The sequence below is a fragment of the Homo sapiens genome, chromosome 2 (genome assembly GCF_000001405.40).
Source record: "Homo sapiens chromosome 2, GRCh38.p14 Primary Assembly".
In the NCBI taxonomy this organism is placed as follows: Eukaryota; Metazoa; Chordata; class Mammalia; order Primates; family Hominidae; genus Homo; species Homo sapiens.
The window spans coordinates 122233811-122257150 of NC_000002.12; the positions used below are offsets into that span (position 1 = coordinate 122233811).

At 43.1% G+C, this 23340-nt stretch overlaps 2 long non-coding RNA genes across 7 annotated transcripts in view; both read left to right on the forward strand.

Moving 5' to 3' along the window:
* The window catches only part of LOC105373592 (uncharacterized), a 530486-nt gene that overhangs the window by 331358 nt on the left and 175788 nt on the right, over positions 1–23340 (forward strand). The window contains exon 4 of one of the 3 annotated variants that reach the window (XR_923281.3): positions 14712–14805. The exons of the other annotated variants lie outside the window; for them this stretch is intronic. This is a non-coding gene — a long non-coding RNA (uncharacterized LOC105373592). The remainder of the gene's footprint in view (positions 1–14711; positions 14806–23340) is intronic. 3 annotated transcript variants of the gene reach the window in all.
* LOC105373591 (uncharacterized) lies at positions 415–13237 on the forward strand. Of its 4 annotated transcripts, none has more exons than XR_001739686.2 (3): positions 415–2500; positions 3519–7392; positions 7851–13237. It is a non-coding gene; the product is annotated as an uncharacterized LOC105373591 (long non-coding RNA). The 4 variants fall into 4 exon arrangements; XR_001739688.1 differs by lacking the exon at positions 7851–13237 and having other exon boundaries at positions 3519–4461; positions 7190–7709; XR_001739687.1 differs by lacking the exon at positions 7851–13237 and having other exon boundaries at positions 3519–3613; positions 4237–7709.

Here is a 23340-nt window from a genome sequence, read left to right on the forward strand (position 1 = left end):
GCTCAGAAGTTAGGAAGCTATTACAATAATCCAGGCAAGTCGGTTAGTGCCCAGGACTATATCTGCCCATGTTTCTTTCTATTCCAGTCTCCTTCTGCTATAGCTCAGAAAAGAATGTTTGGCAAATTGTAGGTGCTCAAGAAAAACTTGTTAGAAAACGAAAGCAAGAATGACAGCATTGTATGAGTGTGAGCATTACTCTGTGATCCAAGTCTCAGCTCGCTACTGTGCAAGATGTGTGGCCTGGGTTATGTGACTTTACCTCTCTGTGCCTCAGGTTCCCAATCTGTAAATGGGAATAATGACAGCAGCAACTCCATAGGCTTTTTACTGGCGGGGGGGCGGGGGGGCGGGCGGCGGGGACGGGGTGAGAATTGCATGCAATAATGTATATGAAGTGCTTAGAATAAGAGGGCCTGGACCATAATTAGTGCTCAATAAATATCAATAATTACCAGTACAAGAACTGGCTTTATGCACATTTGTTGAAGAAGAAAGGAAAATGTTGGGAGAAAAATAGAAATCTCTGTGAATTATTTGTGAATTTGGGAAATTCAGAATATTCATTTTTCTGTATTTCCATTCAAGCCTTGTGATTTTTGTCTACTACATTTTTCTTTCCTTTTACAGAAACAGATGTTGTTTTTGGTGATGTAAGTTACCAGGGTTGGGGGTCTGATCTGGAGGAACTGGGAGGTGAGTTCCAGCCCCTTCCCTCAGTTTCTCATCATTGTGGAGCAGTCTTGCCCTCTTCCTTCGATCAAGCTTCAAAGCTTCATGGCAACCACATTTAATGTTTATTGCTAATGTTATTAGTTTCTAATCAGAGCCTACTGCGATTATTACCTAATAGCTATTGCTTTGCACTTCCAACCAGATGTCAAAAATAATGAGCCAATAAGACTGCTATTAATTTAGACTGAATGACAGTTTTAGGCCCTCGGAGCTGAAGATTAGGGGCCTCATAAAAGCAGGGCACAAATAATTCGAGTGCTCAAAAGTAATAGCAAAAATGGTGAGAATGTGAATTAATAGGTAAGTGTTTCTAATTTACAAATGAAACATGCAGCTTGAAATATCAACACTTCTCCTGCATTCTCCTGCGATGAATGGAGCAGTCCTCATGGATCCCAGCCTCCAGGATTTGGGTAGAATGGCTCAGAAAGTTTGCTGTCTATAGGAAGAAGAGATGATATTAGCATAGATCTGTTTACCTGGTCCTATTTGGTTCCAGTGAGAGAATGGGGCCAGGTCAGCAAGTGCCTAGAAGAGACCTTCTCCCGGCATCAAGCGTTCCATGAAACGTGTGTCCATTTTGCTGACAGGCTCTGGTGCATTCTGATTGACTTCCAGATGCCTTTCCTGACATGCACCCCATTGTAGATGATTATCCTCCTTCTAACTCATGGATGCTGTCATCCTGTACACCATTGGGTATGGGATGCTTGGGTTCAAATCTTAATTGCATTATGCTCTGAGGGTGTGACCTTGAGCAAGGTGTCCATCATCTCTGAATCTTAGCTCCCTCCCCTTTTAAGGTGTCCATATCAATAGCACGTAACTTGTAGGATTACCACTGATCATTGGAAGAAATAGCAGATACAAGGATCTCAGCACAGTGCCTGTCACACCAATGAACTGGAGAAATTGTCACTGTTGCTTAAACACTAGGGCTCTGTTTCTCCTTCACCTTGATCATTTATTCCCTCTGTTTATTCATGCCTTTAGGTACCTATTTATCAAAGCAGGAGAAAAATTTTAAAAAGTTCATTTCTTTTCTTCCTCCAGTCCTCATATATTAATCTGTAGACCCAAGCCTGTTTCATTTCACTTTGTTCTACCATTTTAAAGACAAACATTGTCCAAAGGCATGCTATGGCTCCTTTTGGTATATATTTGTTTACCATGGTCCTGTTTGGTTCCAGTGAGAGAATGGGACCAGGTCAGCAAGTGCCTGGAAGAGGAGACCGTCTCCCAGCATCACGCATTTCTCCATGAAATGTGTCTCCATTTTGCTGACAGGCTCTGGTGCATTCTGATTGACCTCCAGATGCACCAGAGCCTGTCATATAAGGGGATGGGGTACGGAGGCGGAGACCCAGTCTGTGCTACAATACCTTTAGTGTCTGGTGGGTGTCATGGAGGAAAGAGGTCCCCGAGTGTAAGGGTGGGGTGAGCAGGGAGCAGTAAGGCTGCAGAAGGAGATGGTGTCCCGTCTGGCCTGAGAAGATGTTGTTGGAGAGACAAGCTAATTGCTCTCAAATGGCTACCTTTTCCACTAGGCACACAGATACACTCCAGGATGGAATGCAGGCAGAAATCATGACCTCCATCCACCTTTAACTTTCCAAGGCCTGGCCCATAAACCCTCCCTGTCAGGCTTCCTGGTACCTCTTCCCTGGCTGCTAGCTGGATGCTGAGGCCCTGGGGTGCTGAGCCACTGGTGGAGTGAAGCCTGGGCCTGAAAGGCTGGGTGAAACAGAAGTCATGGGATGGGCAGGTGAGCACACACACCGTCACGGTGTTGATGCATGGTGGCATAGGATTGTCTGTTACAGCAGCCAGGCTTCTCTGACTAATACAGACCAACACGACTTTTCCAGGTCATTCAGGAAGCAGGAGGAGGGTGCTGCAGGCAGGGGGAACAGCATGAGTCTAGATGGGCATTGTGGAGCGAGATGCCCCCATGTGTGCCCTAAGAACTAAAGGGTTCCAGGATTGCAAAACGACATGGTGGGAAGCAGATGGGGAAGGTGGAGGCAGATGGAGCTGGCTGCAGAGAGACTGAGGACATGCATGCCATCTGGGGTTACTCAGGAGGCAGTGGAAGCCACCAGGGACTGTTGAGCAAGAGCTCTGATGAAATCTTGCCTTGGACATGCCATGCTGGTGGCACTCCTCCAAGGGAGGCACAGGACCCATGCCAGGCTGATGAATCAGGAGGCTCTGGGAATGACCCGGGAGGCAGCATGAAGGCCTGGACTAGGAAAGTGTAGGGAGGCAGGGGCGGAGCTGATTAAGGAATTATTTAGGAGGTAGAATTCAAGGGACTCAGTGGTTGTTTTTTTAGCATAGAGATTTCTGGTGTGCAATATGATGCTTTGATCTATATCTACATAGTGAAATGATTACTACAGTCATGCAAATTAGCATATCCATCACCTACCATCCTTAGCTTTTTATGTTGTTGTAAGAGACCCTAAAATCTACTCTCTGAGCAGATTTTCAGTATAGCATCCAATAACACTAACTGTAGTCCTCATGCTGCTCATTGGCTCTCCAGAGCTATTAATCCTGCATAACGGCAAGTTTGCCTCCTTTGACCTACCCCTCCCCATTTCCTCTCCTAGTAAGCTCGGTGGCTGTTTTGAACTGAGATAGTCTTGCTGTTCCTTTTACATCCTTGCATCCACTCCCTTTCTATTATATATTTCTTTCCTGTTTGAATGTGGGGACACACTGGCTACTGCAAATGTTGAATTGGCTCTTGTTTTCTGGTGCATTCTTGCTGGCCACAGAAGATGCTGATCTAGGCTGATACCTGGCAAACCCTACCTTGTCCTGCCCCTGACACTGCAGATCTGAGGACGCGCTGGGGGAGCCGAGCATCCAGGTGTGCATTTTCCCATCTTTGCCTCCTTTGCTGTGCCCCATCCATGGATTCTTCCATTAGTGACCCTGGGATTTTAAGGCTTGTAGCCTGAGCACTCACAGGGAGGTGTGGGGACTGAGTAATCCTCTCAATTGAGCCTGTTAATAAATTTGTCACCACACTAGACGAGGGGAAATGATTTTAAATTGATTCGTGCAGAATTTTGATGTGTTCTGCACATCCAACTTTGCTTTTGGTGCTCTGGTTAAGCATTGGTGAGTCACCGGTTCAGCCTGATTATTCTTGCTGCTGTAAAAGTAGAAATCAATATTAATATTTCCTCACTGTTAACCATCTCTCTAGAACAAATATTTTTTCCCCTCCTTCTCCTTCTATGACTTTGTTATCTTTGCATTTCTAATTGTGTCTGAAATTTATGGAGTGTCTTTTTTTTTTTTTGGTAAAGAACTACAGTTTGTGATGATGCTGCTTTTCCCATCACATCTGGGATCAGCGTTTGTAATAGATTCTCTTTTACGTTCAGCTCCTGAAGAGCACTCTCATGATCTGATAAGAGAAGATGATCTTTGCTGGCCCTTTGAGGTAATGAATCCTTTTCATTTGTTTTCTTGCATACTTTCTAGGTCAGTGAGTGGAGGGAATTTTTGTCCAACGTGCACCTTGACAGAGCTTCACTGACCACGGGCGGTGTCTCCCTGCTGCCACGCAGCACACCTCTGACCACAGACCTCTCTCCAGAGCCACGTGTTTGCTTCTCACCTGACAGGCTCTGTGAGAGCCCATCTGTGCTTCCCTGGGATGTCTGACCGCACGCATCCCCCACTGTGCATGGGAGCCCTGCTGGGCCCGTAGGTGGAATTATTTCTCAGTTTTAATCTGAGTACATAATTGAGGCTTGTGCCAGCAAGGACTCCCATCGCTTTCTTTCCTCACACTCCACACGTAGTGCTGCTCAGTGATTTTACTGTTCCTCTAGGAATGGCTCCCACCTGCTTAGAGTATAAGATTTATCTCCTTAGCACACCATGGGAAGTCTCCTAAAATCCATCCACTGCTTATCTCTTTGGCCTCAGCTCTTGGCCCCCTGTGATGAAACCCTGATCTCTAGTCATGCAGAGGTGCTTGCAACTTTCTGAAAGCTCCTTTCAAAGGTGCCTTTGCCTTCTGTTCCCTATCCCTTCAGGGTCCTTCCCGGCTAGCCACTGCTCCTGGCTAAGTTCTGAGAGGTTGCATCCACCTCGCGGGAGTGTTGGCCATTTTCTCCCTTCGAGGTCCTTATTGTTGGCCTTTCTCTCTTTCCCTACTAGACTCTAAGCTCCCTTAGAGTGGGGCCTCTGTCTCACCCATCTCTCTGTGGCCCCCATCTAGTGTGCGGTCAAGGCTTGCTGAGAGCTGCCTTTTCATGTGTATTATGACAATTCAGCCCAATGACAAGTGGCTCACTCCATCTCCAACACGCTCCTGTCAACCTTCCTTTTCCCTGGGTCTCTTCAGTTTAACCTTTTGTGGGCATACCATCATGCATTAGTTGGAATCAGATTGATACTGGAGGTGTTTTTGTTTTCCAGAAATGTCTGGGGAAAGTGTGCCTGTGTACTTTTCATGTATGTCCGTCGGAGGAAAAGTTTTCATCATTCATTTATTCTTGTATCGATTGCACAAAATTGCTTAAGATTCTCCTCTGTGTGTGGTTCCATGGGAGCTTGGACCACTTTACATGATGAATAGGACAGAGTAGAGTCCCTTTTGGGAAACAGGCATCTGTAAAATGCTATGGGTACATAAAGAGCCACCTAATGGAAATGGGTCACAGCTGGCACTCCAAAGGAGGCAATGTCTGAGCTGAATTGGAAGGAAAAGCAGGCATTTGCCAATGAGAACTTGGAGGGTTCTCCAGGAGCAGGGCGTGCAGAGAGCCCATTGAGTGGAGGCGTGTAGGGAGCCATGGGGACTTTGGTTTATCTTAAGAACAATATGTGTTTGTGTGTACAAGGGAGGGGGCAGAATAAGGAATGGCAGATAAAGCTGAAGAAGTGAGTAGAGGCCAGATCACAGGGTCCTGACTGTGTCCTGGATAAACACGGGGATGCTGGAGGTTTAATCAGGGTCATGGCGTGGTAATATTTCCAAGTAGAAAGATCACTTTGGTGGTGAATTGCAAGGACTGGCCGATTCCCCTGGTGGTAGGAAAAGAGGTGACCAGGCTGGTTTCCAGCGGATCTGGGCTGGGGCTGAGCGTCTGGTTAGTGGTTAGGAATAAGCTGAGGGATAATCTCAAGTCAGGCTCTGCTGTGGGGCATGTGTTCCCTGCCGAGTGTGTGAGATGTGAGTGCCTGTTCTGCTGGCTGTGCTTCCTTCCCCTGTCTCGGGGTGCCGGGGACTGAGCCCTGTGACTCCAATTGACGGCTTCATTTCACAAATTAAACATATCATGCTAGTGAACCGTTTCAGAGCCACAGCATTACAGAATAAGAAAACCACTGCAGCCCTAAGTCTACAATGCTCATGAAGCAAACAATTCTCTGAAACATTGACCCAGCACCTCAGAGCTCCCCATAACAGGTCTACCTCTTTGGAAAGGTCAGACTTTTTAAAGGTTAATTGTTACCCTTAAGAAAAATGCAAAACAAACGGTATGGCTGCATATTTAATAGGTGTTTGGAACAGCATTTCCCAGAAGCACAATTCCTGATGATTTGATTTTTAAAAAGAATGGTCTAGAAATAAAGTGCCCTTGGCAACTTCTGACTTGAAGAAAGTGAGTATGCCACCTGTGGTTTAAGGAGTATTATTATTATACGTCTGAAATGTCCTCTCCCTCCTCCCCTTTCCCCAAAGAAAACAAACCCAGCCAGACAGTAATTTGACCATTGCTATGTCCTGGGTCTTTGCACAGTGGTGGCTGAACAGCTGAGCATAGAGCGTCCAGGAGATCTCATCCTTGTCTGCCTTCTCTTGCCTACTCTTTCTCCCTCAGCTTTCTCCTCTGCTCCCAGCATTGACCAGGCACTTGTCTGAAGCCAAGCTCTCCATCAGACTCCCCAACACCTCCCACATAGCTTACCGAAGAGCTCTCCCTGGACACCTTGCTGGGCGCCTCAGTGCAATTTGTCCAAACCAATTTAGCGCCTCTCTTTTCCATGGCTCTGGTTCTGCCCTTAACTTCTTCCCTCTGCTGAGCTCTCCTCTCCTCCCTGCACTCATCTTGCCCCCAGCTTGGATTCTCCAGTTGTTTTCTCACGACTCATTGTTCTTCTAGCATGCTGTCCACCCTGGTGCTGGGTCCTACTGAGCTTTTTTCTCCCAATCTGTCTCAGGACTGTCTCTTTTCATTGTGGTGGCCACCACTCTAGACGGAACCTCTCTCCTGGATCACTGCAATAACTTCCCAATTGCCTCTATTACAGATCATCCATTTTGCCCACTGACACAAGACATTTTCTGGGAGATCCATTATGATTCTGCAAATTCCTTGATCAAAATTTTTACTGTTTTCTTACTGTCTATGGTATGAATCTCAGAATTTCAGGGTTCACTGCCTTTCTACCTTAATCCTTTACTACCTTTTCTTTTCAGTAACCTTCATCACCCCCAAGTGGATGGTCTCCATTTTCCAAGCTGGCAGCTCACCCCCTCTCTCTGTGCCTCTGCTGCTGCGGTCCACACACCTGGAATGCCCTCTGCACCCTGCACACGGCATCCCCCCTCCTTCAAGCATCGGTCAGAGGCCCCATCCTCCTACCAGCTCCCTGATCGCTCCAGTCTGGTGCATTCATTGTGTATCATTTCTCGCAGGCCCCTGGGTACAATAGCTGTTTGTATCCATTGGTTATTAATCTGGGGGGAATGGCGGCAAATTTATCTTATAGTCCCACAGGTAAACTTTCTGAACCTCTGGTTTTGTCTGTAGAATTGGTATAGCCATTCCTTCAAAATAGGTGTTTGAAGAATATTCAATATTAAAACTAACTATTTATAAGTATGTAAAGCTCCTAACAGAGTATCTGACACATAGTAGTAAACACACAATTATTGTCTATAGCAGGTGCAGCCATTTTCAAACGAAGGAAAAGAGGAAGGAAAGAAGGAAGGCAGAAAAAAGGAAGGAAGAATGGAAAGAATGGGGGGAGGGAGGAAAGGAGGAAGGCAGGAAGGAAGGGTGAGAAGAAGGAAGGAGGGAAGGGTAAGAAAGCTAATTTTCTAGAACTTCCTTAACTGTGCCCCTCCCTGCTGTCAGACCCCCATGGCTTTACCCATACTCTGGGTTTTCATGAACACACGGGCATGTGCTCAACACCTTCTCCTTCCAGCTCCAGATGCTTTCCTGCAGGTCTCTACCTCAGCTGGCCTCTTTGCAGGAAATTAACGGCGTCTCCTACCTTCTGGCTCCCAGTTGCGCTGGGCCAGTGGGGCATATCGAAAGGAGAGAGAGAGACAGGGCATTTATTCTTGGCTTCTTCCCTGTGTGGTTGCCCAGGCTGGCTGTTCCTGACTGAAGGCCTCCTGGCCTGATGGAGCTGTCTTTCCTCTTCCAGTGGCTGCTCTTGCCCCTCTTCAGGTGAAGAACATGCTGGTTTCAGGTTGTGACTCACCCCGAGGGGCTTGTGGATTCCTTATTCCCAGCTCACAACGTTGTAGCCCTTTATTAAACACCCCTAACACGTTCCAGATAGTCTTCCTTCCAAGACCCCAAGGAACACACTCCATACACGCCTTGTGCTTCAAATCTCAGAATCACTGTGTCAAGCAAGAGAAGCCACCCAGGAAACATATGTGGGTGAAGTCAAGAACAGGCAGGACCGACCTACTGTGATGGAAGTCAGAACACTGGAGGTTCAGTTTTGGATTGGAGTTGACTTGAGGAAACTTTCTGAGGTTTGGAAATGCTCTGTATCCTGTTGAGGGTGGTGGTTGTGTGAGTATATGCAATGGTCAAAACTCATTGAACCCATACACACGTTTTATGGTATCTAAATGATACCCCAATAAGAAGTAAATACATAAGATTACAAAGGAAAATAACTGTGTTAAAATAAGATTATTAAGATGTCCAATACAAAGAAGATCCTCGTAGTTCCTCAACACACACAGCAACACACGCATCAGAATCCTAGGCTCCAGAACCCCAGAGATGCACTGTCTGGATGGACCTCTAACAAAGCAACCCCTGAAGGTGCAGCACCCATCTTGCCGCCCAGGCAATGCCTCTTCCAAAGGAATGTACAACTCTTAGAAACAGGGACATGGTCCCTGGCACAATCCTAAGCACAGAGTAGGTACCTAAAGCTTGAAACCAAAAGTCAGCCCTCACTTAACAAATGGATGAAGAGTCAAATAGATTCTTATTCTGAGCTAGGCAGCAGGTTAGCTACTAGAAGAGCCTAGTCTTCAGTTTTTAAATTTAATCTCGTAAACTCAGAAGACTCGTTGGCTCTTGGAGGTTTAGATGAATCTGGCTCACCTCTCAACCCCAGGGGTTCAAAGCTTGTGAAAAATGCTTTGTTTCTCCAGAGATGCCCCTGTCTCTACTCCCTTGGCTGTGACTGTCATCTCACTACTACCTCCATGATAATCTGGGCTCAGATATCTGCCATTTGGGTGAGAAAATCTGCTCCAGCCAAGCAATGTGTGCTGAGTGGCTTCATGAAGGACATTAGGGTGTCATGGTGCAGGGTTGCCGCTGACTGTCTGATTATCATCAGCCTCCAGTGTGCTCCCTGCATGCCTGCTTGCAGTCCACTGACTCCTTTAACTTAAATCCCAGTGGGTGACCTTCTATACCCTAAGCATTCACTTGGGAAATGGAAACTATTCATTCTTCTTCTTCTTTTTTTTTTTTTTTTTTTTTTGAGACAAAGTCTCGCTCTGTAGCCCAAGCTGGAGTGCAGTGGCTCGATCTTGGCTCACTGCAACCTCTGCCTCCCCGGTCCTAGTTCAAGCAATTCTCCTGCCTCAGCCTCCCAAATGGCTGGGATTATAGGCATGCGTCACCATGCCCAGCTAATTTTTGTATTTTTAGTAGAGATGGAGTTACATCATGTTGGCCAGGCTGGTCTTGAACTCCTGACCTCATGATCCACTTGCCTCAGCCTCCCAAAGTGCTGGGATTACAGACGTGAGCCACCACACCCAGCCAAAACTATTCCTTCTACTTTCTCCCAACACAGTGGCCTCTTTCCGACTTTTTTTGAGTTTTTTTCAGGGATCAACCAAGCTAGGCAATTTTGCCTTTTATACAATCTCCTGAAATTCTAGTGAATAACTTTTTTTTTTTCTCATCTTCCGATATCTTGTGATGGTCCCAATGCAGATGATCTGTCCAGGGGATGGATGAGGAAAAGACAAGAAATGATGCCCAACTGTGGCCTCCAGACTGACCTCCCCTGACACTGCTTACTCCATAGGTGATGGGCAGTACGCTCTTATGAGACTTTATTTGAGGATCTGTTTCCATGGTACAGGCTAGGTAGGGGACATATCTTGTCCCTTCTATACAGGGCTTCTCAGTCAGGCTGGGCTACTCGTGGTCAGCAGAAGTTTTCAGGCAACTGGGATACAGAAAGAGCTGAGTGAGGGTGTGAAGATGGCGAGGAGGGCCATGGAAGTTCCAGGCTGAGGCTTTGGCAACTCCTTCCACCCTCAGAGCCAGGGTTTACAGGTTTGCCCATCCATTTCTGACCCTTCTTCCAGGAGCTAGGATTGGAAAGGAGTACCTGTACTAACTGGCTTTTCTTCATTCTCTGACCTCAGTTTCTGGAATTCTTTTTGGTGCAATTTGCCCCAAGTTGTCCATCAAGAGTTGAAGGCAAAATAAATGGAGGGCAGTTCATCTCCCCAAATCTTTGAGGAATATTGTATTTCTTGCCTTTTCTCCACAGTACTTGGGCTCTAATGGGTCGCATGTAATAGCTGCCTGTAGGGTCACACATGCACCGGGGGATGGGTGCAGTGTCTCTTCAGAGCCTCTGGCTTGCTCTGAAGATCCCTTCTGACTGGAATGGGAAACCTAACAATTATTTCTCCCTGTTGGGAGTTCAGGCTTCTCCATAAGCTTTGGCTCTGGGGATGTAAGCTGAACCTTCCAGACCTCTGAGAGGCTTGTCTCCTGGGGACAGCAGATGACCATCACCTTCCATCTGTCTTCCTAAATGAGCAAGAATCAGCAATTCTTGCATGGGCTTAGTTTCTCTAGGGATGTCTTGCTGGCAGTTGTTTTCTCATCACCTTGCTCCAGTGGGACCTGGTCTTCCAAATTGCAAGCAGGAGGAGTTGGCATGCAGCTTACTGCCAAAATCTCAGGATGTTTTACACCTCGAGGTCTCTTCTTCTTCCTGGTGCTGTGTACTCAGAAACCTGCCACATAGATCACAACACTGTGCACATTCCTGAATGCTTGTGTGCTGTTGGATATTGTTGCCTGGAGACAGGGAGAGTTATGACTTTTTGACCTTGTATAATTTTCAATTCTGGACCATGCAATTTTTCTATTTATCACCATTGCTTCTCCACGTCTGAGGCCTGACTCCTTGGGAACATTTCAGCAGCTCAGAATCCTCCTCTTCAATCTGGCTGTGCCTTCTCGCAGATGCCATATGTTGGCTCACATCCATGTGGCTGTGGCCAGTGGATCCCAGCTTGCCTGGCAGTTACTCCTTAGGAGGATACCAGGCTCTGGGGAGTCTGCCCCAGCAGGTGAATCAGGAGAAAGGCCCTTCTCAATGATCAAAGTTTTTTGTTCCTTTTTCAGGATTGTGTGTCACTTAAGAAGCTGCAGTAATCACCCATGGCCAGGATTTCCTCTGGTTGGTGGGTTGATGAGTTTATTCCTTGTCATGCAATGCCCTGGCTAAGACACCACAGAATGCTTTGTATGTGTTGCTCTCTCTACCTGCCTGACCTGTGTGTTACTCCACACATTTCCATGTGAACCTCAGGGTTCTGTCAACCCTCTCCCCTGGCCCAAGCAACAACATGGCCAGTGCAGAAACAGTCATCTTTCTTCCTTGAGCTGTAGGTTCCCTGGTCTCATAGTCAAGATGAGGGTGGACTTAGACCCACTATTAGACTCAAAATACTGCATTTTGCATTGGGGGCCAGTTTATCTGCTGGTCCAGTGTTCTGGGGCTGCTCAGATGTCACTTGGGGCTGCTTTAGATCCCGAATATTTAGGGAAACATGGCTCAAGCCTTCAGTCTCATGGACTATATGAGCCCAGAGCTCTCCCCACAATTCCTGTGAATTCTAACCTTGGGTCCTCAGGGTCCCATGTGGACCCCTTTGCCAATGGGATGCAAATTTCTGCTGGTTCACAGATTTCCTCTAAAAATTTTACTGAAAGCTTATCTTCTGCCACTTCTGTGCTTTTTGTTGGCTTATTTGTTTCGTTTTTTGTTTTTATTTTTTTAGTAAAAAATAGGCACTATAGGCAGGTCAGCTTTCCATATTTTCCTTTTCCCAATTATGATGAATATAGTTTTATTTATTTAATTAGCTAAGTATTTTTATGTTGGACTTTGCAGCAGCCTCAAGTATTATTTCAGACTTGGCAGGCAGCATTTCCTGCACAGGTAGGTGTGAATTTATAAGCAAGGAGGTTGGAGGTTAGTGGTGATTATTTAACACTATTTGGCTTAACAGATGTAATCTAAATATAGATAAATGAGAAAAATGAGAGTTAAAACACCTATTTCCGCCATTTGAACCAGCAATCCCGTTACTGGGTATATACCCAAAGGATTATAAATCATTCTACTATAAGACACATACACATATATGTTTATTACAGCAGTGTTCACAATAGCAAAGACTTGGAACCAACCCAAATGCCCATCAGTGATAGACAAGGTAAAGAAAATGTGGCACATATACACCATGGAACCATAAAAAGGGATGAGTTCATGTCCTTTTCAGGGACATTGATGAATCTGGAAACCATCATTCTCAGCAAAGTTAACACAGGAACAGAAAACCAAACACTGCATGTTCTCACTTACAAGTGGGAGTTGAACAATGAGAACACGTGGACACAGGGAGGGGAACATTACATACCGGGACCTGTCGGGGGATGAGGGGCTAAGGGAGGGAGAGCATTAGGGGAAATACCTAATTTAGATGATGGGTTGATGGGTGCAGCAAACCACCATGGCACGTGTATACCTATGTAACAAACCTGCACATTCTGCACATGTATCCCAGAACTTAAAGTATAATTCAAAATAAAAAAGAAAAACAAAAAACACCTATTTCCATATTTATGTATGTTTCCTCAAAAAGTACAATGGCTTTTTTTCCCTCTACTTCTCAAACTTATTTTTATTAAAACCATTGCATTCTTATTATTAAGTATTTACTCTATGTGTATTTTAAATAAGACTTATAATTGGATTAAATAAATAGTATGTAGTAAGTTGCAATTGTGACTTTGTTCAAATTTCCAGATATTTTAAATCACCACTTAATGCAATCCTGGCTCTAACATTGAGGCATAAGTATATTTCACACACATTTCTTATTCTAGGGGTTAGACTGCTTTCTAGGCAATGTTCTTTCCAAATATTCAGCCTTTCTGAAGACTGGATGTGATTCTTTTTAATTTTTTTTAAGATGGAGTTGCACTCTTGTTGCCCAGGCTGGAATACAATGGCATGATCTCGGCTCACCACAACCTCTGCCTCCCAGGTTCAAGCAATTCTCCTGTCTCAGCCTTCCAAGTAGCTTGGATTACAGGCACATGCCACCACACCTGGCTAATTTTTGTATTTTTCTTTTAGTAGAGACGGCGTTTCATCATATTGGTCAGGCTGGCCTTGAACTCCTGACCTCAGGTGATCTGCCCACCTTGGCCTCCCAAAGTGCTGGGATTACAGGCATGAGCCACCACACCCGGCCGGATGTGATTCTTTATAGGAATTTTCGCTGGAAAACTTTTTATTTAACTGCTTAACCTGAATAAAATAATAATAATGATGATAATGATAATAATTTCAGCCAGGTGTGGTGGCATATGCCTGTATGCCAGATAGTCTGGAGACTGAGGTGAGAAGATCATTTGAGCCCGGGAGTCCAAGTCCAGCCTGGGTAACATAGCCAGATTCTGTCTCTAAAAAATATAATAAAATAAACACAAATTTTGCTTCTTTGACTCTTTCCATGAGACTTAGAAGAAAATATATGCATAGCTTTCTGTTCCTTTCCTAGCCAACAGAACACCTCCTTCACAGTTTTGTGATTAAAGAACATGATGTCCACCATATTTTTAAGTGATAATCTGCTCGTGTTTAATGGTCTATTGCTGCCTTTATCTCTATTTCTCTATAGATGCATTTTTCAAACGTAAGATGTCCATACCATTTTGTCTTGTTTACTCACTTATCCTAAACATATTCCAGTGTTTCTCCAGAGTCTTCAATAAATGTAATTATTAACACCCATAATCTACCATTCTAGCTGCATTTACAACAATCAAAACTTTTATTTTCCCTTTAACATCTATAAATGCATTTGCACAAAAAGCTGCTCTTAGCCTGTGGTTTTAGGTGAGCTGCCTGGGTTGGGCTCCTGACTTTGCTTCACACTGGCTCTGACTTTGCAGAAGTTACTCACCACCCTAGTGTTCTCATCTGTAGAATGCTGGTAATAATAGTGCCTTCTTCATTGGACTGGCTTGGGGATCAAATGTGTAATTACTTTGAATGCCTTTGGATCAGGGTCTGGCACAGACTAACCCCTCAATAAATGTCGACTATCACTGTTTTCCCATGCTTACTTTTATTTTTGCAAATGTCTACACTGGAAATCATCACTAGTTCCCCAGGCTGCCTGTGTATCTGTGTAGGTTGTGCAACACATACTCTTAATTCTTTTCACTCTTCACCGTTTGTGGAGAATCCCCTGGAAACTCTACTTTCTGATTTAAGTGGGTTTCCAGGTAGAGTAAATTAAAGCATCTTGGTGTGGAGGCCACCTGGCCACCTTGCCTTAATTATAGAAGTAACAATAGCATTCCCTAAGAAGACAGCTGCTGCTTCTGAAAATTTAGGTGACATGTGCCTTGTGGAACATGCTTTGTGTGACAAGAAGCGATTTAATTTCTTTGCAGGTAGACACAAACAAAGAGGCAACAAAGAAATTAGAAGGTTGTATAAGAAGCTGCATAGAATCACAATGACTGCGTTGTCCTGAAACCAACCCAGGTGACTTTCTGAATAAGTTGGTGCTCAATTAATTTACTGTTAACTAGTACTCCTATAGCTAGCTACATTGCTTTCTAGTTCCAATTAGACCATTAGGAAGTTTGGCAAGTTGAACTTTTCTCTGTGTCTCAAATCTGCCATTCTTCAAATGGAGAGAAAGAATCTGAACTTCACAGGGAGTAAAACACTTTGAAATGTAAATATAAATGTAGATGCATATATACAATAAACCATAAAATATTATGCAAATATCTTATTAACACTATGCATTTTCTTGGAAAGGAGGTAAAGGCTGAGATGATTTTCATTCACATTTTCAGGGTGCTCATCTTTCAATTAAAATTGGGAGTAGCGGTTTTTGTGAATGAAGAAAAGTTTATTCAGATATATATTTAACTCACATGATAGAGGGACCCTGTGGAGGTCTCTGTATAATATAATACCATCCTTTCTTTTCAGAGATGTCTTTACTTTTCAAAGACCACCTGGGTGAGCAGGGGGGAAGACCAGGGTCAGGCTCACAGACCTTCCCCTACTGTGTGCTGCCGAGGCTGTACTTTGAGTAAATTTCATTTTGAATCAGCAAAGACAAAAGGCATTGCTTGGTAGAAGCACAGTGGATTTAAAATTAGAAGACCTGCGTTTGCCTTTGCTTCTCCTGGGCAATTCTTAACACATTAAGAATCTTTCCCTAGTGTCCTGCTCTTCTATCTGCTTGCTGATTTTCTCTGAAGTGCGTTGCATGTCCACATGGTCCAGATCCCTACCCACTTCTCTTCTGACTGTCACTTGGATTCAAATATAACTACCTTTTAGTTATAAGTATATATAAAAAAACTATGAACATAGCCTTTCTAGCTAGCTATATTGCTTTCTAGCACTTTTGAATGACAGAATTACATTTTTGTTTAATCCCAGAGATTATCATGTCACTAAGTTTTTCTTTACATATTAATTTAAAGCTAAGCTTTAATTGAAAAAGAAATCTGATATTAAAGTAGAAATTTTCTTGCATGCAATCAGATTCTATCAAAGACTTAAGAAATTATTCATTTTTAAGGAAATAAGGATATGTTTTAAAAATACAAAACTTATATGGAAACAGTTTGTTATAGGCTGAATTGCATCCCTCCAAATTCATATGTGGAATTGCTAACTGCCAGTACCTCAGAATGCGACCTTACTTGGAAATAGGCTCATTGCAAATGCAATTAGTTAGGATGAGGTCATACTGGAGTAGGGTGGGGCCCTAATCCAATGTGACTGGTGTTTTTATGAAAGGGGAAATGTGGACATTGACACACATACACAGTGCACCACGTCAAGACGAAGGCAGAGATCAGGGTGATATATCTACAAGCCACAGAGCACCAAAGATGGCCAGAAAAACACCAGAAGCTGGGAGACAAGCATGGAACAGGTTCTGCCTCACAGCACTCAGAAGGAAGAAACCTGCCCACACATTGATCTTGGACTTCCAGCCCCCAGAACTGTGAGACAATACATTTCTGTTGCTTAAACCACCCAGTGTGTGGTAGTTTGTCATGGCAGCCCTAGCAAACTAATACAGATTTTGGTAACAGAAAGTGGGATGCTTCTGTAACAAATAGCTAAAAATGTGGAAGTGGCTTTGGAATTTGGTAATGGGTAGAGGTTAGAAGAGTTCTGAGATGCTTGACAGAAGAAGCCTGGATTGCCTGTAGGAGACTGTTGTAGAAATATGATCGTCAAAGGTGTTTTCAGTGAGGCCTCAGATGGAAATGAGAAACATGTTATATGAAGCTGCAGGAAAGAAAACCTTTGTTACAAAGTGCAGATAACTTGGCTGAACTGTGTTCTACTTTTTGAAAAGTAGAACTTATAAGGAATGAAATAGGATATTTAGCTGAGGATATTTCTAAGCAAAGTGTTGAAGGCATGGTCTGGCTTCTTCTTGCTGCTTTTGGTAAAATGCAAAAGGAGAGAGATGAATCAAAGAAGGGACTGCTTATCAGAAAGAAATCAGCACTTAATGTTTCAGAAGATTCTCAGCGTATCCAGATATAGTGTGCTCTGGAAACAGGGCCAAAGGTGTGGCTGGACAACCACTTGCCAGAGAGACTCAGTGTGCCGCTTGTGGATCCAGTCAACCATCTCTGCAGAAATGCTGCCAGCTTGGACTGAAGGGACAGAGATGGGATGAAATGAAGAAAGGCTGTCAGGATTCTGGGGTTCTACAAGCAGGAAATGGGCTAATAGAGCTACTCAGCTGCAAATATGTGTTATCCTTACAAGAAGGAAGGAATGTCTTCGAAGGCAGTTCAGGTGCTGGCAAAGCTGCCATCAGGGCCCAGAGGGCAGCATCCTTCACCCAGGTGTGGTACATGAGGCGCCTGTCCCTTGCTGCTTGTGGCTTGTTGAGTCACTGCTGACATGGTCGGTGAGCACCAGGTCTGGACTCTGTTCTCTCTACCTTGATCTCCTAGGTTTTATTCTCAGCTTGGTACCTGGGTTTGTTCTGGGTGCCCATTTGATTGGCATCCTTGGTGGAATTAGGCCATTCTTTTTTATCCCTCTTTACTCTCTTTTATGTTTCTGTTTTGCATTGTCCTGTCTGAAATTGTTGTTTGGCCCAGAAGGAGACTTACAAGGTAGAATGCAGGCATAGATCCTGTAAGCTTGTTGTTTGAGCCAGCCTCACAGACTGGTGAGTGTACAGTTCTCACTGGGCTGATATCCACCTGGACTAATTTTGCTGTGAGTGACTAATAGAACTGGATGAGGTTCTCCTTCCATCTGAAGTTTTTGTCTAAGTGCTTGGCTTGGCTCCACAGACAGTGTTCTCGCTGGTTTTTTGTCTGCTGGTGGTGCAGATTGTCAAGCTTGCATTGGGAGGAGGACAGCCATCATGCTGGGGACTCAAAACATGAAGTGCTCAAGCCTCACATTTCTACTGACCACTGCCAACACTCGTGGGGTTGTCCAAGTATAAATCCTTGCCTCCTCTAGGAAAAACTCCTGCTTCTTATACTTACTCCCATTACAATGCTAATTCTTGTGCCTATCTCTAAACGACATAACTTCATCAAGGATGATTTGATTTTCAGTGGCCACTCTGGGGAAGACTTGACTAGAGCAAAATTGTTCATTTGAGAAGTGCTTTAGAAAAAAAAGGAAATAAGTTTTCTCAGGCCCAATGGGCAGCATTTTTTAATTGGTATGCAAGGCCTCCAAATGAAATTCTGATTTAATAATTGCTTCACTAAGAGTCATTGGCTAAAGCTAATGAGCAATTTGACTAAATTAAGCAACAACAAACTAGACTCATTTGCCTGCTAAATCCTTTTCCATCCTGTCTTTCAGTTGCTTCCCTCTACAAAACTCTCCTTCATTCCCCTTATCTTTTTGATGTCTCTCCTTACTCACCCCTATCAACTCCTCCCTTATTATACCCCTGTTCAGACTCCCTCCCTTTCGCCTAAGACCCAAACTTCCACCTCTCCCATGAGCCAGGTATGCAGGTAACTATAGAATTTAAGCCTTGGACCTGAGCTGAATTAAGGATTTCTCTAAATACAAATTAGACCAGCAACTACTGGTAGAAGAAATCAGAATTATATTGAGCGCCTATAAGCTGCATTGCCCACCCTATATTAACCTCTTTTTTTATTGCTGTCCTAAATTCTTTAATTTGAAAAAGGAAGAAATGAGCATGAGTCATTTAAAAGAAGAATTCAAAAGCCAGACTGGTAGAAATGGGGTAAGTTGTGCTGCTGGTTAAAATTCTCAACCAGGGCTTGGAGAAGCACAATGGCCAGCAGCTCTTAGGTTAGTGACTTGGTTAGTCAATATCCAGGATTGCAGAAAATGTTTAATTGGCAGGCTGGGCACTTTTGGAGGCACCAAGGAATACCTCTACTCAGCCTATTGCTCCTTAGGATAAAGCAAGATAGATGATATCTTCTAAGGCTTCCATGGGTTTAGACTGACACTCGTCCTCATGACTCCAGCAAGCTTTGGATTCTGACAGTGGAACTGTAAGTGCTAATGTGGGAATCCATGGAGAGGTTTGGGGGAATTTGGGGGTGGAGACAGAGTAAGCCATGAGAAATTGTACATAAAATTATATGTGTATGTGTGCCTATGCATATTTTCCTGAGGATAGAGTCACTAGAGTTTATCAGATTATCAAACGGTCCTGAGTCCCAAAAAAAGGCCAAGAACTACTTCAGTTTAGGTTATGGCTGAGGCTTTGGGGTCTCTATAAGTTTTCTAGTCTGAGTCCTTGAAGGTTCAGATTCTTCCCCAGTGGGTGCTCCCTCCCAGAGCACGAGTCACATCAGAGAGGTACTTTGTAGGACCATGTGCTGTCTGAGCTGCCCTATCCGCAGCCTCCTCAAACAACAATTATCAGACAAGAATTTTGTATCCAGCAAAACTAAGCTTCATATATGAAGGAAAGATACAGTCTTTTTCAGACAAACAAATGCTGAGAGAATTTGCCACTACCAAGCCACCACTACAAGAACTGCTAAAAGGTGCTCTAAATCTTGAAACGAATCCTAGAAACACATCAAAACAGAACATATTTAAAGCATAAACCTCACAGGACCTATAAAACAAAAATACAATTTAAAAAAGAAAAACAAAAAACAAAAAACCAAGGTATACAGGCAACAAATAGCATGATGAATAGAATGGTATCTCACATCTCAATACTAACATTGAATGTAAATGGCCTAAATGCCCCACTTAAAATATACAGAATTGAAGAATGGATAAGAATTCACAGAACAACTATCTGCTGCCTTCAAGAGACTCATCTAATACATAAGGACTTACATAAACTTAAGGTAAAAGGGTGAAAAAAGACATTTTATGCAAATGGACACCAAAAGCAAGCAAGGGTAGCTGTTATATCAGACAAAACGAACTTTAAAGCAATAGCAGTTAAAAAAGACAAAGAGGGACATTATATAATGATAAAAAGCCTTGTCCAACAGGAAAATATCACAAACCTAAACATATATGTACCTAACACTGGAGCTCCCAAATTTATAAAACAATTACTACTAGACCTAAGAAATGAGATAGACAGCAACACAATAATAGTGGGGGACTTCAATACTCCACTGACACCACTAGACAGGTCATCAAGAGAGAAAGTCAACAAAGAAATAATGGACTTAAACTATACCCTGGAACAAATGGACTTACCAGATATATGAAGAACATTCCATCCAACAAGCACAGAATACACTTTTTATTCAACAGCACGTGGAACTTTCTCCAAGATAGACCATATGATAGGCCACAAAATAAGCCTCAATAAATTTAAGAAAATTGAAATTATATCAAGCCATCTCTCAGACCACAGTGGAATGAAACTGGAAATAAACTCCAGAAGAGACCTTCAAAACCACGCAAATACATGGCAATTAAATAACCTGCTCCTTAATTTTTTTTTTTTTTTTTTTTTAAATGAGAGAAGGTCTTACTCTGTCACCCAGGCTGGAGTGCAGTAGCATGATTATAGCTCACTGCAGTCTTGAACTCCTCGGCTCAAACAATTCTCCTGCCTCAGCATCCAAAGTAGCTGGGTACTACAGGTGTGTGCCACAATGCCTGGCTATTTTTTTTTTTTTAAATTTTGTAAAGGTGAGGTCTTGCTATGTTGTCCATGCTGGTCTTGAACTTCTGGCCTCAAGCGATGCTCCCACTTTGGCTCCCCAAAGCACTGGCATTACAGGTGTGAGCCTGGCCCCAAGTTGTATAGATATTGGTCAAACCTCAGATGCTAAAGCCTAGATGGCAAAAGTTAATTATAACGACCTGGAAAAGGACTACAGAATGCCTTTTTCTGTAATAAACTCAAGGCTCTCCCCTGCCACCGACCCCCCCGCCCAAAAACAAAGCCAGAACAGTAGGTTAACATCTTCTAAAAGCCATATCTGAACTATTTCTAGTAAAAATGGTTTGGGTTATAATTAAATCATGAAAACAGAAAAGATGCAACTATAGAAGATTTTTAGGACAGATTAGAAAACACCTTCTGACAACATTCAGGAGTTAAAGATGGCACTGATGTAACAGTGGCCGTTTCACTTCATTTTGTCCTTGGAATTAAATTTGAAATTAGAGACCTAATTCAAAACCAGAAATTAGAACGAGGAATAGCCTCTTCTCTTGAACCACAACACCTTGGAGAGCATTTTGAAAGAGTTTTAGAATAAATATGAAATAAGAACAAAAATAAACTTATATTCTGTAAATCAACCAGCTAAGTGGCCCACTTTCTAATCAACTATCTACTGATGAGGACACTTATTGAAGGGACACTGGAAAACAGATAGTCTGGTCATGCAAAGAAAAAGCAAGACAAAGAAAAATCCTTCAATTCAGATCAGTGAGCATGCATCAAGGAAGGAAAGAACTCACTATCTTGCCTTACCCTTAAACATTCAAGGTGAATTAACAATAAATACAGATGGTCAACCTCCTCTATTCCTGGTAGATATGATCCTACTCTTTCTACATTAAACCCTGCCACCTTTGCTCAACATCTTCCTCAGAGTAAATATACCACACAGGTGTTAGATATTTCAAATAAACTATAGCTTTTTTCTATCTGTCAGCTCTTAGGGGTAACACTTAGACTTTTGACTGAAAAGCATTCCTTCCTGCTCTGTGATACCAACCCCTGCAAATTTAATAGGAAGAGACTTACTTTGCAAATGGAATTGTCATGTGATATGCACACTCGAGGGACTGTTACTTGAGGCTTTAGAGAACTCCTTTGCTTATAATTGGGGGATTTCTGATCTAGATGTACTTTTGCCTTCTCTATTGTGTTTGATGCACACTGCAAATAAAGATCTTGAGACTATACTTGACATCCTATGGGCTAAACATTCCACTGAAATAGGAAAAATAATTGGAGCAGAACCTACTAAAGTTCAGATAGATCTTACCAAACTGTTGCAATTATTTCCACAATATCCCTTGAAGCCAAAAGCAAAAGAAGGACTCAAATCTATACTTAAAAGCCTTTTATCCAAAGACCTTCATGTATCCTGGACTAGCTACTACAATACGCTTGTTCTGCCAGGAAAGATACCAAGTGGATGAGAATATTGACTTGTCTAAGACACCAAGGCCACCAACAACATTGTTATTCTTCGATGTGGTGGCATCTAACCCAAATACCAATAATGTCGTTAATTCCATCTGAAGCCTCTTGCTTCACTGTAGTGTATCTTTGCTCCATATTTCTGCAGTGTGCCTCTAGACCAGGGCAGCCAATATCTTTTTGCCTTTACTTGTGGAAGACAGCACAGACCTGGATAGTTATGTTCTAGAGATTTAAAAAAGTAATATTTTTCCTAGGTCTTAAAGACTGAAAAGATCTAAATTTCTCTTGTGATTCATATTGCCATTCACTGCTGCAATACTTGCCTTTCACTTGCCTTTACCAGAGGAAGGGGAAACCTCATGATTGTTTTACCTCATTTAGTGAACATCCTGTGTCTCACTCTGATTTATTGGAGACTCCTACTGAGAACCCTGACCTTGGATTATTGGTTGGTGAGTCATGCTTCAGAGCTGGAAGTGGAGGTTATCAAGCAGAATGTGCTATCACCAAATTAAGCAGTCCTCTGGAATATAGCTCTCTACCTGAGGCAAAATCAACTCAGATGGCAGAACTTCTTGCCCTTAGTAGAGCTTATCAACTAGCCAAAGAACAGAGAGTAAACATGTACAGTCAAACCCTCTGGTGAGGGCTCTGCCCTCCTGGATTCAACCAAGCATGGATTGAAAATATTCAGAAAAACAATTCCACAAAGTTCCAAAAAGTAAAACTTGAATTTGCCATGCCCTGAGTACTACAATGAACCCACTCAAATGCAGCAATGTGTTGGCATTATATTAAGTATATAATCTAAAATCTCTATAATCTGTAATTTCTATAATTAGGTTTATAGGTATGTAATCTCTAGTAATCTAGAGATGATTTGAAGTATGTGGGAGGATCTACTTAGGTTATATGCAAATACTGTATCATTTTATATAAGGGACTTGAGTATCCACAAATCTTGGATTAGTGTTTTATAATAGTGCTGGATGGAACTATCTTAGCTTTTTTTTTGCCCTTCCATCTCTTCCTCCATGTGAGGACACAGCCTTTGTCCCCTCCAGAGGATGAAGTAACAAGGCGCCATCTTGGATGGAGAGACCAGGATCCTCAGCAGACACTGAACTCGACAGTGCCTTGATCTTGGATTGGAGGTTTTATAGGATACACAATTCATTCCTATAGTAAATGATTATAAGACCCTAAAGTAAGTTTTAGTAAATTGAGCAAAGGTAGAACATTTGTAAAAGTTATAGCTTTATTTCAAAATATGTCCATGGGTACAGTCCATCTGGTTGGACTCACCTTTACTCTGAGTCATGGGCTCCAGGCAGGTGTGATATGCACAAACTCACCCCTGACTTTCTCTGATCTTTTCCTCTCCACCCCTTTGCTTTTTCCTTTAATCATTACTCTCATTTTTT